Source organism: Homo sapiens, chromosome 12 (genome assembly GCF_000001405.40).
Source record: "Homo sapiens chromosome 12, GRCh38.p14 Primary Assembly".
NCBI classification, from domain to species: Eukaryota; Metazoa; Chordata; class Mammalia; order Primates; family Hominidae; genus Homo; species Homo sapiens.
In genome coordinates this window covers 63,586,473-63,599,471 of record NC_000012.12, presented here as the reverse complement: position 1 = coordinate 63,599,471, position 12,999 = coordinate 63,586,473, and the positions used below count along the sequence as shown (strand labels likewise).

Genomic DNA, 12,999 nt, shown 5'->3' with positions numbered 1-12,999 from the left:
TTATATTAAATAAAATTTCTAAATGTAAGCATTTGCCATTTATTGCTAGTTTTGCATGGTGGTTTATTAGTTTATTTGTTGCTGCTGTTCTCTGGCATGTCTGACAGATTTCCCCATTCTCCTTTCCTTTTTATTGTTTTTAACTTTATTATATATGTCTTATGATAAACTTTATTTAGGCCTTCTAAGTTATTTATTTATCTGTTAAGTTTGTTCATGATTATGTTTCTTGCCTTACTTCACATTGACCCCCAGATCTTTACAAATCTAAATCTTTTTTTTTTTTTTTTTTTGTTTTTTGAAACACAGTCTCATGCTGTCACCCAGGCTGGAATGCAGTGGCCAATTTCGGGTCACAGCAACCTCCATCTCCTGGGCTCAAGCGATTCTCGTGCCTCAGCTTCCTGAGTAGCTGAGGTTATAGGCACGTGCCACCACACCTGGCTAATTTTTGTATTATTAGTAGAGATGGGGTTCCAGCATGTTGGCCAGCCTGGTCTCAAACTCCTGACCTCAAGTGATCCGCCTGCCTGGGCCTCCCAAAGTGCTGGTGATTACAGGTGTGAACCACCATGCCTGCCCTACAAATTAAAAAAAAAAAAATGCAAACACACTTCCTTGGTAGTCCTGAGTGACTTCCTTTATGTGACAGTTACGAGGAATACCTGAAATTATAGTGGTTTGGTTAAATTACTGTTAGTCACCAGGCCTATTCTAAATTAGAAAAATAAAGTGCAACTCTAAATTATCCTTGAGTACTGGTAGATTAGGAAAAATAATTGAATGAAAACCACTCATAATCATCAAATTTGTTATAAAATAATTTCTGTCACTATAAAATAATTTGAATTAAGAGTTTACTTGCCAAATATTTTCCTTTTTCTGGACTTCTGAGGATGCTGTGGAAAAATAATTGTCTCACCAAGAGCAGGTTGTATATAATCAGTAGAAAAATAGAAGTTCTGCATTGGGTTTGGTTGTTGGTATCTACTTTTAGCCTTGGAGATCAAATAGCTAAGTCAAAGATCAAAGTCGTATGTATAATTATTGTAATTCTTATGAGGATCAGGTCTCATATTCAATGGTTTGAATATATGTCTATAAAATATCAAGAAGTACCAAATATTGTAATCAGTCTGCGAGGCTTTGTGAAAATGACAGTGCACAGAAAGCTTATGACCTACAATGTATGTTGAAAGAGGTTAAGTAAAATAGTTTTTCATGATAAATTGTCTTATTATAAAATGTAATTAACTACATGGTGGTTTATTCTCAGCAGATATTGATTTTAGCTCACTCTTTATCATCTTCTCTTTGTTTTTTCTAACTTCTTTCTACTTTTCATTTTTCATGATATTTCTCTTTATTTTCAGTTATCTTGAGAAGTCAGCACATGGTATATTTGGTTCACTGTAGTTTTTTGTTTTCTTAGAGGGATGTCTAAATATATTGGATTTATCTGCTCTATAAACTTTGTTATTCTTACATCAATAAAGTATTACTGTCTATAGGCTATAATCACTTGTGTAATTTTAATTCATTTTACTTTATTTTCTCCCAGATTCGCCTGAGTGATCTTATAGCAGCCAGAATCTTAAGGTATACAGATTTTGATACTTTAATATATACCTGTGCTCCCGAATTTGACTTCATGGAAAAAGCGGTATGAATGTTTCTTTTTTCCTTCTCTACTAATATGAGTTTTTTGCTCTAGGTTTTTTAAAATCTGAAACTCAAAATTTTTGCTCAGAAACAGTCAACTTATTTTATATTTTTTACTGTAACTTTTGCTAATCTACATTCCTCACTTGTTTTTTTTGTCTGTTAAAAAAAAAAGATAGCCTCTATCTTATAGAGTTATTGATGATGGTTAAATGAGATAATCTGAGAAGAGTATTTAACATACTATATGACCCATAATAATTACTATTATTACAAATCAATTACTTTTGATAATCTAGGCCACTTGGAAATATGGGACCATTCAGGAAAAAGTCTAAATTCTTGTTTCTGTTTTTAAGAAATTCAGTTTTATTACAGTTAACACCCCAAATATTATAACATTTTTAACAAGGTGTTACCAAGAAAGGTATGCTACTGATGAGTTTTAATGAACATATAAAAATTCATTTTAAATTATACAAATGCAAGGTATTATTCTTTTTAAAAACTTCATGTTATAAAGCTTTAAAATATAGGCTGGGCGTGGTGGTTCATCCCTGTAATCCCAGCACTTAGGGATGCTGAGGCGGGTAGATCACTTGAGGTCAGGAGTTTGAGACCAGCCTGGCCAACATGGTGGTAACTCCATCTCTACTAAAAATACAAAAATTAACCAGGCATGTTGGTGCATGCCTGTAGTCCCAGCCTGAGTAGGAGGCTGAGACAGGAGAATTGCTTGAACCCTGGAGGTGGAGATTGCAATGAGCTGAGATCGCACCAATGCACTCCAGCCTGGGTGACAGAGTGAGACTCTGTATCAAAAAAAAAGAAAAAAAAATTGGCCTCTTTGTAGAATCATGGAACACAAGATCAGGAAGGGCTCTTAGAGACCATGCCATATAGTTCTTTCATTTGCAGATAAAGAAAAGCTTAAAAGATTTGCCTAAAGCACACACAAGCCAAGATCAGGACGTGGATTCTAATGGATTCTAGAACTCTCAATCCAGGGCTCTTTCCTCTATTTGTAGCTCAATTTTCTTCATAGGACATAACAAAGTTGCTACTGGATTGATTATTCCTTGTGTAATCATTATGAATTCTGAATTAGTGGTAAATAATAAAATTTTACATTCTTCTCTTATCCATCCAACCAGTCATCCCATTCATTCAAAAACTATTATTGACCACTAGTTATCCATGAGGCAGTTTGCTATAGCACGACAAATAGGAAAATGAACTGGTTTCTTGCTTTTAAGAAATGTATAATTTAGTTACATGGTAAATTACTCCTTATTACAATAACAGGTCATCAGAATTAGTTAGCCAATGTTATTTCTGTACTTATTCATAGTTTTAGTCATTAACTTTGGTTAGCGTTCTTTCTTGTTAGCTCTAGTTTCACTAATGAAAATAATGGAGCTGTGTAGTACAGAAAGTTACAACGTAGGACCCAGGGATCGGTAGACACACATTTTAAAACTTAGTATTATGTAAATAAAAAACAGAAAAGAAAAAATAGATATAGCAATTCTAGTTTTATTAAAATAATAAATTTTTCATTAAATTTTTGGAATACTTTTTATAACTATTTTTATAATTTTAATTATTTTATTAAGGCATGGAAGACAATAAATATATATTCTGCTGATGACAAAGAAATTTAACCTTTTACTTTTAAGGAATGTTATCATGGCACTTAGTTTGACATAGGTGTTTACTAATTTAATGTAAAAATTGTAAGTAACCATTTTGAATAATTTGGTATATTTCAGACTCCGCTGAGATACACAAAGACATTATTGCTTCCAGTTGTTATGGTGATTACATGTTTTATCTTTAAAAAGGTATTTTTAAACAAATTATTATTTGTTTTTGGCATCAATATAAGGACTATAAGAATGCAAATTGCTCAGAATTCCATGTTATTTTTAGGATGAACTCTTTCTCTCTCTAAAAGTTTGCTTTTTATTTAGATCTTTCATCATCGATCTTTTTATAAAAAGCCATGATAAAAGGTATTCTTATTTTTTCTTTCAAAAGATACATACCAGTCACCAACTGTGTATCAAGGACTACATTAACATTGTAGGTACACCCGGACAAATAAAACCTGGCCGCTCCTGTCTTGGAACTTACAATCCTGGATTATTGGGGGTGGGGGTGCAAACATGAAGCAAATAATCACACAAATGTCTAAAGAATTAAAATTTTTATAGGTGCTATGAAAGAAAAGTCCAGTGACAACAATGTTAGTATCTTTCAAATATAAAGCACAGTGAAGTCTTGATCTATTTTGAGTGGGCCTGCGTAGAAGAAATCTGTATAGCTAATTGAAAAATACTTTTCTACATGTTCACTGTTTTCATGACAGAAGAAAAGAACATCTCAATGAAAAAAATAATCTTTAAAATACCACTGGTAGGTTTTCTTGGTCTGGGTGGAGTTTATCTAAAAGCATGGTTAAAGACAGTGGGTATTTTTTTAAGCAGTCTTGAGCCATCTTTATTTATATTATTTACAAGCTATCAAGTCTTAAGCCAGTATGTATTTATTGTATACTTTTAAGCAGATAATAATAATGCAGTTTCCCTACCACCATACCAGTTGTGTTCTTGTTGAAAGGAGTTTTCTGTATTTACAGTCAAATTGCATATCTTCTCTATGTAGTTTTAGTTGCCACACTTCTCACTCCTTTGTTTACACAGAGATGTGAGTAATTTAAGAGTGAGAAAGGTATCTCCCTCGACATCTCTGTTGTTTCACCCTTGATCCAGTTCCCTGCAGACCACGTGGGAAGAGTCAGGATAAAGGAAACAAGGAGGAATGAGTAAAATGTGAGCAGGTTTACCGCCCTGCATCCTTTCGGCCCATGCTGGCTTAGAATGAAGATTTTCTCTACTGGCCTGTTTCTTTTCCATCAAGGCAAAATGTCAAATTATTCTTCTAAGGCTCCACTTAGAGGGGCCAATGCATGAATTAACTATTCAGCGGAGAGTCAGCAATGTGAGAGAAACTGATAGCTAGATCCGCAACTGCTATATTTTAAAAAATTAAGATCCAAGACTTATAAATACATTACTAGTTTCCAGACACACCACAACCTGAACTATGCATGTGCACTAGCAGGGGCATGTGCATACACACACACACACACACAGACACGCACACACACGTCCCTGCAGCCAGTCAAGTTTCATACACACACACGTGCACGCACACACACACACATACAAACATCCCTACAGCTAGCCAGGTTTCATACACACATACACACATACACACACACACACAAATCCCTGTAGCCGGCCAAGTTTCATACACACACACACACACACACACACACACTATCTCTCTCTCTCTCATCCCTGCAGCCAGCCAAGTTTCACTCCTTCCTTTCTGCTTTCTTATAAACCCCTCAGTCTTTATTTGTCCTATTGTGGCTTATTTTTCACCCCAAGGATACTTCTGATGGTCATTTAGTTTTCAATGATGTGAAGTCACTTCTCGGAAGGAGAAAAGGAAGGCATCTATAGTATGACCGTCCTGTTCCTGAGGACTCCCTTAAACATTAAAAAATACTTCTTTCCTTGGCAGAGTGTTTATATTAATGAATCAGAGCATTTTAAATATTGCAGTATTCCTTACAAAAGTTTCATTGATTTGATTCTATTCACAGACTGTTCGTGATATTTCATATGTTTTAGCTACAAACATTTATCTAAGGTAATTATATCATCATTGTTTTTAAAACATACAGTATTCCATTATTAAATAACTTACTGTAACATTAATTTTTCAAATGAATATGCATTAAACTTTAGCATTGTGATTAAGAAAGGAAATATGAGCCAAACTTAAATGTTTCCTTAAAAATATTATTCTTACAGATTTCTTATATGTATTTGGACTTGTTTTGGAGATATATATATTTGTGAACCAACTCAAAGTTTAAATTGATAAATTATAATATTAGAATTTAAAGTCAGTAAGCTAAAGATTTATTTTTTTTTATTTTTATTATTATACTTTAAGTTTTAGGGTACATGTGCACAATGTGCAGGTTAGTTACATATGTATACATGTGCCATGCTGGTGTGCTGCACCCATTAACTTGTCATTTAGCATTAGGTATATCTCCTAAAGCTATCCCTCCCCTCTCCCCCTACCCCACAACAGTCCCCAGAGTGTGATGTTCCCCTTCCTGTGTCCATGTGTTCTCATTGTTCAATTCCCACCTATGAGTGAGAATATGCGGTGTTTGGTTTTTTGTTCTTGCAATCGTTTACTGAGAATGATGATTTCCAATTTCATCCATGTCCCTACAAAGGACATGAGCTCATCATTTTTTATGGCTGCATAGTATTCCATGGTGTATATGTGCCACATTTTCTTAATCCAGTCTATCATTGTTGGACATTTGGGTTGGTTCCAAGTCTTTGCTATTGTGAATAGTGCCGCAATAAACATACGTGTGCAAGTGTCTTTATAGCAGCATGATTTATAGTCCTTTGAGTATATACCCAGTAATGGGATGGCTGGGTCAAATGGTATTTCTAGTTCTAGATCTTTGAGGAATCGCCACACTGACTTCCACAAGGGTTGAACTAGTTTACAGTCCCACCAACAGTGTAAAAGTGTTCCTATTTCTCCACATCCTCTCCGGCACCTGTTGTTTCCTGACTTTTTAATGATCGCCATTCTAACTGGTGTGAGATGGTATCTCATTGTGGTTTTGATTTGCATTTCTCTGATGGCCAGTGATGATGAGCATTTTTTCATGTGTTTTTTGGCTGCATAAATGTCTTCTTTTGAGAAGTGTCTGTTCATGTCCTTCACCCACTTTTTGATGGGGTTGTTTGTTTTTTTCTTGTAAATTTGTTTGAGTTCATTGTAGATTCTGGATATTAGCCCTTTGTCAGATGAGTAGGTTGTGAAAATTTTCTCCCATGTTGTAGGTTGCCTGTTGACTCTGATGGTAGTTTCTTTTGCTGTGCAGAAGCTGTGTAGTTTAATTAGATCCCATTTGTCAATTTTGGCTTTTGTTGCCATTGCTTTTGGTGTTTTAGACATGAAGTCCTTGCCCATGCCTATGTCCTGAATGGTAATGCCTAGGTTTTCTTCTAGGGTTTTTATGGTTTTAGGTCTAACGTTTAAGTCTTTAATCCATCTTGAATTAATTTTTGTATAAGGTGTAAGGAAGGGATCCAGTTTCAGCTTTCTACATATGGCTAGCCAGTTTTCCCAGCACCATTTATTAAATAGGGAATCCTTTCCCCATTGCTTCTTTTTCTCAGGTTTGTCAAAGATCAGATAGTTGTAGATATGCGGCGTTATTTCTGAGGGCTCTGTTCTGTTCCATTGATCTATATCTCTGTTTTGGTACCAGTACCATGCTGTTTTGGTTACTGTAGCCTTGTAGTATAGTTTGAAGTCAGGTAGCGTGATGCCTCCAGCTTTGTTCTTTTGGCTTAGGATTGACTTGGTGATGCGGGCTCTTTTTTGGTTCCATATGAACTTGAAAGTAGTTTTTTCCAATTCTGTGAAGAAAGTCATTGGTAGCTTGATGGGGATGGCATTGAATCTATAAATTACCCTGGCAATTTTTGGAATTCCTCCCTCCCTCCCTTCCTCCCTTCCTTCTTTCCTGCCTTCCTTCCTTCTCTCTCTCTCTCTGTCTTGTCTTGTCTTTCCTCTTCTCTTCTCTTTTCTTTTCTCTTTTCTCTTGTCTTCTCTTGTCTTCTCTTGCCTTCCCTTCCCTTCCGTTCCCTCCCCTCCCCTCCCCTCCCCTCCCCTCCCCTCCCCTCCCTTCCCCTCCCTTCCCTTCCCTTCCCCTCTTTTCTTTTCTTTTCTTTTCTTTTCTTTTCTTTTCACAGAGTCTTGCTCTGTCAGCCAGGCTGGAGTGCAGTGGCATGATCTCTGCTCACTGCAGCCTGGACATCCCGGACTCACGCGATCATCTCATCTCAGCTCTGCCAGTCAGCTGGGACTACAGGTGTGCATCACCATGCCCAGCTAATTTTTGTATTTTTTTGTAGAGAGGGGGTTTCACCGTGTTGGTCAGGCTTTTCTTTTTCTTTCTTTTTTAACTTTCAGAGGGGGTATAATTATTTGTGTTCCTGAATATTTATGAATTTTCTTCTAAACTTATTGTTAAAACTATTTATTGTATAACATTTTTGGATGGTTTTAGTAATGTCACTAGCATAAGCAGATGCCAGCAAAATGTATCGTATCAGTCACACATAAGTAAATTGCTACAAAACTCAAGAAGTAAATTGTGAAGAAAATTTCCTTCTGAGGGAAATATGATCTCAAATGACATGTTTTTTAGTGTTCAACTTTTATTTTCGATGCAGGGGGCACATGTACAGTCTTGTTATATGGGTATATTGTATCCAGGTGGTGAGCATAGTACCTAATAGTAATTTTCAAGTTACATTTTATATTTGTAAATAGAATATTTGATTTTATTTTGTGACTTCTACTTTATAGAATAGTTTTAGATTTATAGAAAAATTGTGAAGACAGTAGAAAGAATTTCTATGAACTCCATACTCCATGCTTGTATTTTTAATAAACAGCTGTGTATGGTTGTCAGAAGAGCTAATTAAGCTCTTAGGTGCATCTGTTGAAATTGTTTCCAAAATAAAGGGGATAATAGAACCATTCTATATTGTTCCAGACAGATGGAGCACAGGGAAATGTGTCTTGGCATTCTAAAAAAGAATGAATGGAGAACCCTGGACACTGTTCCCATAAGGAGTACATGAAGGGACTTGGGATATTTAATTGGATAATAGAAGATTGAAGGGTATGTGGCAACTGTCTTCATATATTGCAGAGGGTGTAATGTGGAAGCGACAGACTCGGAGGGGTCAATGGATGGAAGATAATTACTCAGAATATGGAAGTCTATGTATTGATTACATATTTGAAAGTGACAGGCCTGTTGTGTATGGGCAGAGGGTTCCGGGTTAAATCTCAAAAATAATAATAGCAGGGGCTAGTAGTAATACATTCTGAAAAACCAGCGTATCAAAAAGAGAGGGAATACTCCCCTCTCTTAGATCTGCTCCCCTGGGTGCTGATTGTAAGTAGCTTTGTATGTTTTATTTTAGAAAATACATATAGAAACACAATATTTTAAAAAAATAGAATTGTATTCTTCTTATTCTGCAACTTGTTACTTGTATTTAATAGTGTGTCTTGGGCCTCTTCCTTGATCTTCATTATATTTTATAATGGTCTTAGGATTTTATTGTTGACCATCATGCGTGACTGCCTTTCCCATATCAATGAAAGTTTAGATTATATATAACTTTTGTCTTAAAAAAACCAATGTTTTGAGGATTGAACATCCTGGTTCGTGTATCTTGGTACACTTATTCTAAGTATTTCTATAGTATGAAATATTTGAATTTGGACTGCTGATTATGAGGCCTGCATATTTTAGAATTTGTTAAAACTGAGAAATTATAATGATGAGAGTGTCCATTTCTCTGCAACTCCACCAACATCGTTATCAAGCTTTTAATTTTTTCTGATAGGTAAAAACAATTCATTTTATTGTATCAATTCTTTGTCAGTGGAGTTTTGCAGCTTTTCATGTGTTTGTTTACTATGTTTCTTTTTGACCTTTAAAAGTTGTTTTGTGGGTTTTTGTTGTTGTTGTTGTTGTTTTGTTTTGTTTTGTTTTTTTTGTCTCGCTGCTGTGTATGCAGTGGCACAATCTCGGCTCACTGCAACCTCTGCCTCCGGGGTTCAAGCAATTCTCCTGCCCCAGCCTCTGGAGTAGCTGGGATAACAGGCACCCGTCATCACACTCAGCTAATTTTTATATTTTTAGTAGAGACAGGGTTTGCCATGTTGGCCAGGCTGGTCTCGAACTCCTGAACTCAAGTGATCCAGCCACCTGGGCCTGCCAAAGTGCTGGGATTGCAGGCATGAGCCACTGTGCCCGGCTATGTGTTATGTTTTTGCTTTTTCCATAGACGTAACATTTTGTCTCTTATGTGCATTACATAGTTTCTTCCAAGATGTCAACTTATAGTTCATTTATGGTCTCTGCTTTGTAGAACTTCAAAATTTCTCTACAATCACAGTTATATATTTTTTCTGGGTTCATATGTTGCTTAGAACACTTCCCTATACGAAAAACATGAAAATTTTTTTTCATATTTTCTTTCATAAGTGTCTATTTACATATAGGTTATTTATTACTCTTGCGTTAATTTTGTGGTATAGTGACATAGAGGAGTCTACCTTTCCCCCTCTAATGAGGTATTGTCCCAACACAGTGTTGCATAAATCTTTTTTCCAAATGTCAGCTTTTATCACTTATCAATTCTCATTGTACTTGAGTCTGTTTTAGATTGTCTCTTATATTGATCTTTTAGTTTATAGGAAAGCTGCTTTACTTTTTTTTTTTTTTTTTTTTTTTTTTTTTTTTTTTGCAACACATTTTTATCTAGCCACATTACCAAACTTTCTTTCTGGTTCTGATAGTTTTTCCATTGATGTCTGGATTTTCTAGGCAGGTTATCATATAATCTACAAATAGTAATAACTTTCTAATATTTATACTTCTTTACTTTCTTGTCGTGCTAGAACTTCCAGAACAATTTTGAATTGCAGTGATGATGGGCTTGCCCTTATTTTGTTTCTGACTCTAAAGTGAAGAATGCCTTTAGTGTCTCACTGTTTCATTTACTGTTAGTATATAATAGATAGCCTTTATTTCATTAAGAAAGTTTCCTTGGCCAGGCGCGGTGGCTCACGCCTGTAATACCAGCATTTTGGGAGGCCAAGGTGGGCGGATCACGAGGTCAGGAGATTGAGGCCATCCTGGCTAACATGGTGAAACCCCGTCTCTACTAAAAATACAAAAAATTAGCTGGGCATCGTGGTGGGCGCCTGTAGTCCCAGCTACTCGGTAGGCTGAGGCAGGAGAATGGCGTGAACCCGGGAGGCGGAGGTTTCAGTGAGCTGAGATCGCGCCACCGCACTCCAGCCTGGGCGACAGAGTGAGACTCCGTCTCAAAAAACAAAAAAAAAAAAAAAAAAAGAAAGTTTCCTTTTGGTTTATATAAACCAGGATAATTTTAAAAATTAAATTAAAGATAGATGTTGAAAGTATATAATGTGTGAATTGTAACTCAATAAAGCAGTAAAAAATGAATGTTAAATTTTTTAAAAATGGCTTTAAAAATATTTTGGGGATTATTATATATTTTTTCTCCTTATTAATAACTACACTTGTTTTTAAAATTTGGTAAGAATGCTTAACATGTGATCTACCCTCTTAACGATTTTTTAATTGTATAATACAGTATTGTGGACTATAAGTATAACATTCTATAGTCGATCTCTCGAACTTATTCATCTGGCTTAACTGAAACTTTTAAAATATTCAGTAAATCATGCTGTGACAGATGTGCTGTCATCCAGGCTTTGTTGTTCCATTTGTAGAGTAGAGGCAGAGTAGATTTAGCATAATTCTGAAAAAAGGCCTCAGGATTTTCAAAGTGGTAAATGAACATTGGCTTCAACCGAAAGTCACCAGCTGCATTAGTCCATAACGAGGTCATTCTTTTTTGGATTTTTCATAAAACCAGCTTTTGGTTTTATTCCTTATATTTATGAAGGTTGTTCTCCATTTTATTAATCTCTGTTTATATGTTTATGTCCTTAGTTTTTCTTTTGGTGCACTTTTGTTGTTTTTCTGTGTCTAAAGTTCACATCATTTATTATCAATCATTATTGTGTCCTAGTAAATACATTTAAAGTTATAACTTTTTCTTTGAAGAAAACGCACACTGTATCCCATGATGTGTGTAGCATTACCATTAATGTTGATTTCTGTGTAGTCTGTGATTTGAGTTTTGATCATTTAATCCAAAATCACTTAGAAGAATGTCTTAAAATGTCTAACTAGTTTTAGGCCGGGTTCGGTGGCTCATGCCTATAATCCCAGCACTTTGGGAGGCCAAGGCGGGCGGATCACGAGGTCAGGAGATCGAGACCATCCTGGCCAACACGGTGAAACCCTGTCTCCACTAAAAATACACAAATTAGCTGGGTGTGGTGGCACACACCTGTAATCGCAGCTACTCGGGAGGCTGAGGCAGGAGAATCGCTGGAACCCAGGAGTTGGAGGTTGCAGTGAGCCAAGATTGCCACTGCACTCCAGCCTGGCAACAGTGCGAGGCTCTGTCTCAATAATAATAATAATAATAATAATAATAATAATAATTTTTAAAAATGTCTAACTAGTTTCTTCTGTTGTATATTTTGCCTTTAAAATTAACTTGCTATCTATTGAGATGGATGTTCAGTTTTAGTAAATGCTCTGTGAGGATTTTTTAAATGTTCATTTCTTATTTAGGGGAAGTTCAAAGTTACATGTTATATCATGTTATTAATAGTGCTATTCCAAATGGTCTAGTACATCAACTTATTTTTCTACTTTATCTGTTTTCTTAGAATGCTATCTTCACATACAACATTAAAAATGAATTTTTCAAAATTGTCTTGTAATTTTAATAGTGTTTGCTTTATATAGATAGTGCTGTTGTTCATTGCATGATTATTATAGGATTGTACTTTTATTATAAAGGATATTCTTTGCTTTACTTAGTGGTTTTTTGCTGTAAATTTTTCTTTGTATAAAATTAATATTGCCACATCTGCTTTCTTTTTTATAGATTTTCCTGGTTTACCTGTATTTATGCTTTTTTTTAACATTTTTGTGACATTTTGGTTTAGGTATATTTCTCATTGTTAGATTTTTTCTATTCAAATTCCTCTAATACCCGTTTTCTAATTGGTGAATTTAACCCATTTTCATATTAACTGTGATAACTGCTGTGTTTGTACTTCTCTCTGCCATCTGATTTTATGTTTTCTATTCATCGTGCTTTTCAAAAATTATTTTCTTGATACTCGCTGAATTGTTAGCTATATCCCATTTCTGTATTTCCTGGTGGTTTCTCTTAAATTATTATCAAATGTATTCATCTTGATATTAAGAATTCATCAGCATCTAAAACCTGTTACCACCAACGATAGTAGCTAACAGTTATTATTTCCTGTGTGTCTGACAGTATTTTAAGCTTCTTACCAGTATTAACTCAATAAATCCTCACAGTCACCTTGTGAGAAGGGAGTCAGTTATTCCCATTATTTGCAGATGAGGAAACCAATAAGAAGGTAAGTAATTTTCTGAAAGGCACACAGCTAGTGAGTAGTGGAGGCAGAATTCGTACTCAGGCTCTGTACCTAGAGACCTGCTTGCTTCAGCGCTGAGCTGTTGGAATATTTCTACTTGCCCCTGCCTAG

General features: G+C 35.4%; 1 protein-coding gene across 23 annotated transcripts in view; it reads left to right on the top strand.

The window, feature by feature from the left end:
• DPY19L2 (dpy-19 like 2) overlaps positions 1-12,999 on the top strand; it is a 109,893-nt gene that overhangs the window by 69,334 nt on the left and 27,560 nt on the right. For 17 of the 23 annotated variants that reach the window (XM_047428722.1, XM_011538215.3, XM_024448947.2 and 14 more), the window contains 3 exons: positions 1,562-1,663; positions 3,435-3,506; positions 5,339-5,385. In XM_047428722.1, the coding sequence (XP_047284678.1) occupies positions 1,562-1,663; positions 3,435-3,506; positions 5,339-5,385 (221 nt within the window). Of the gene's footprint in view, positions 1-1,561; positions 1,664-3,434; positions 3,507-5,338; positions 5,386-7,535; positions 12,188-12,999 lie in introns of those variants that run through there. The other 6 variants (XM_047428726.1, XM_024448950.2, XM_024448953.2 and 3 more) reach the window with 3 other exon arrangements.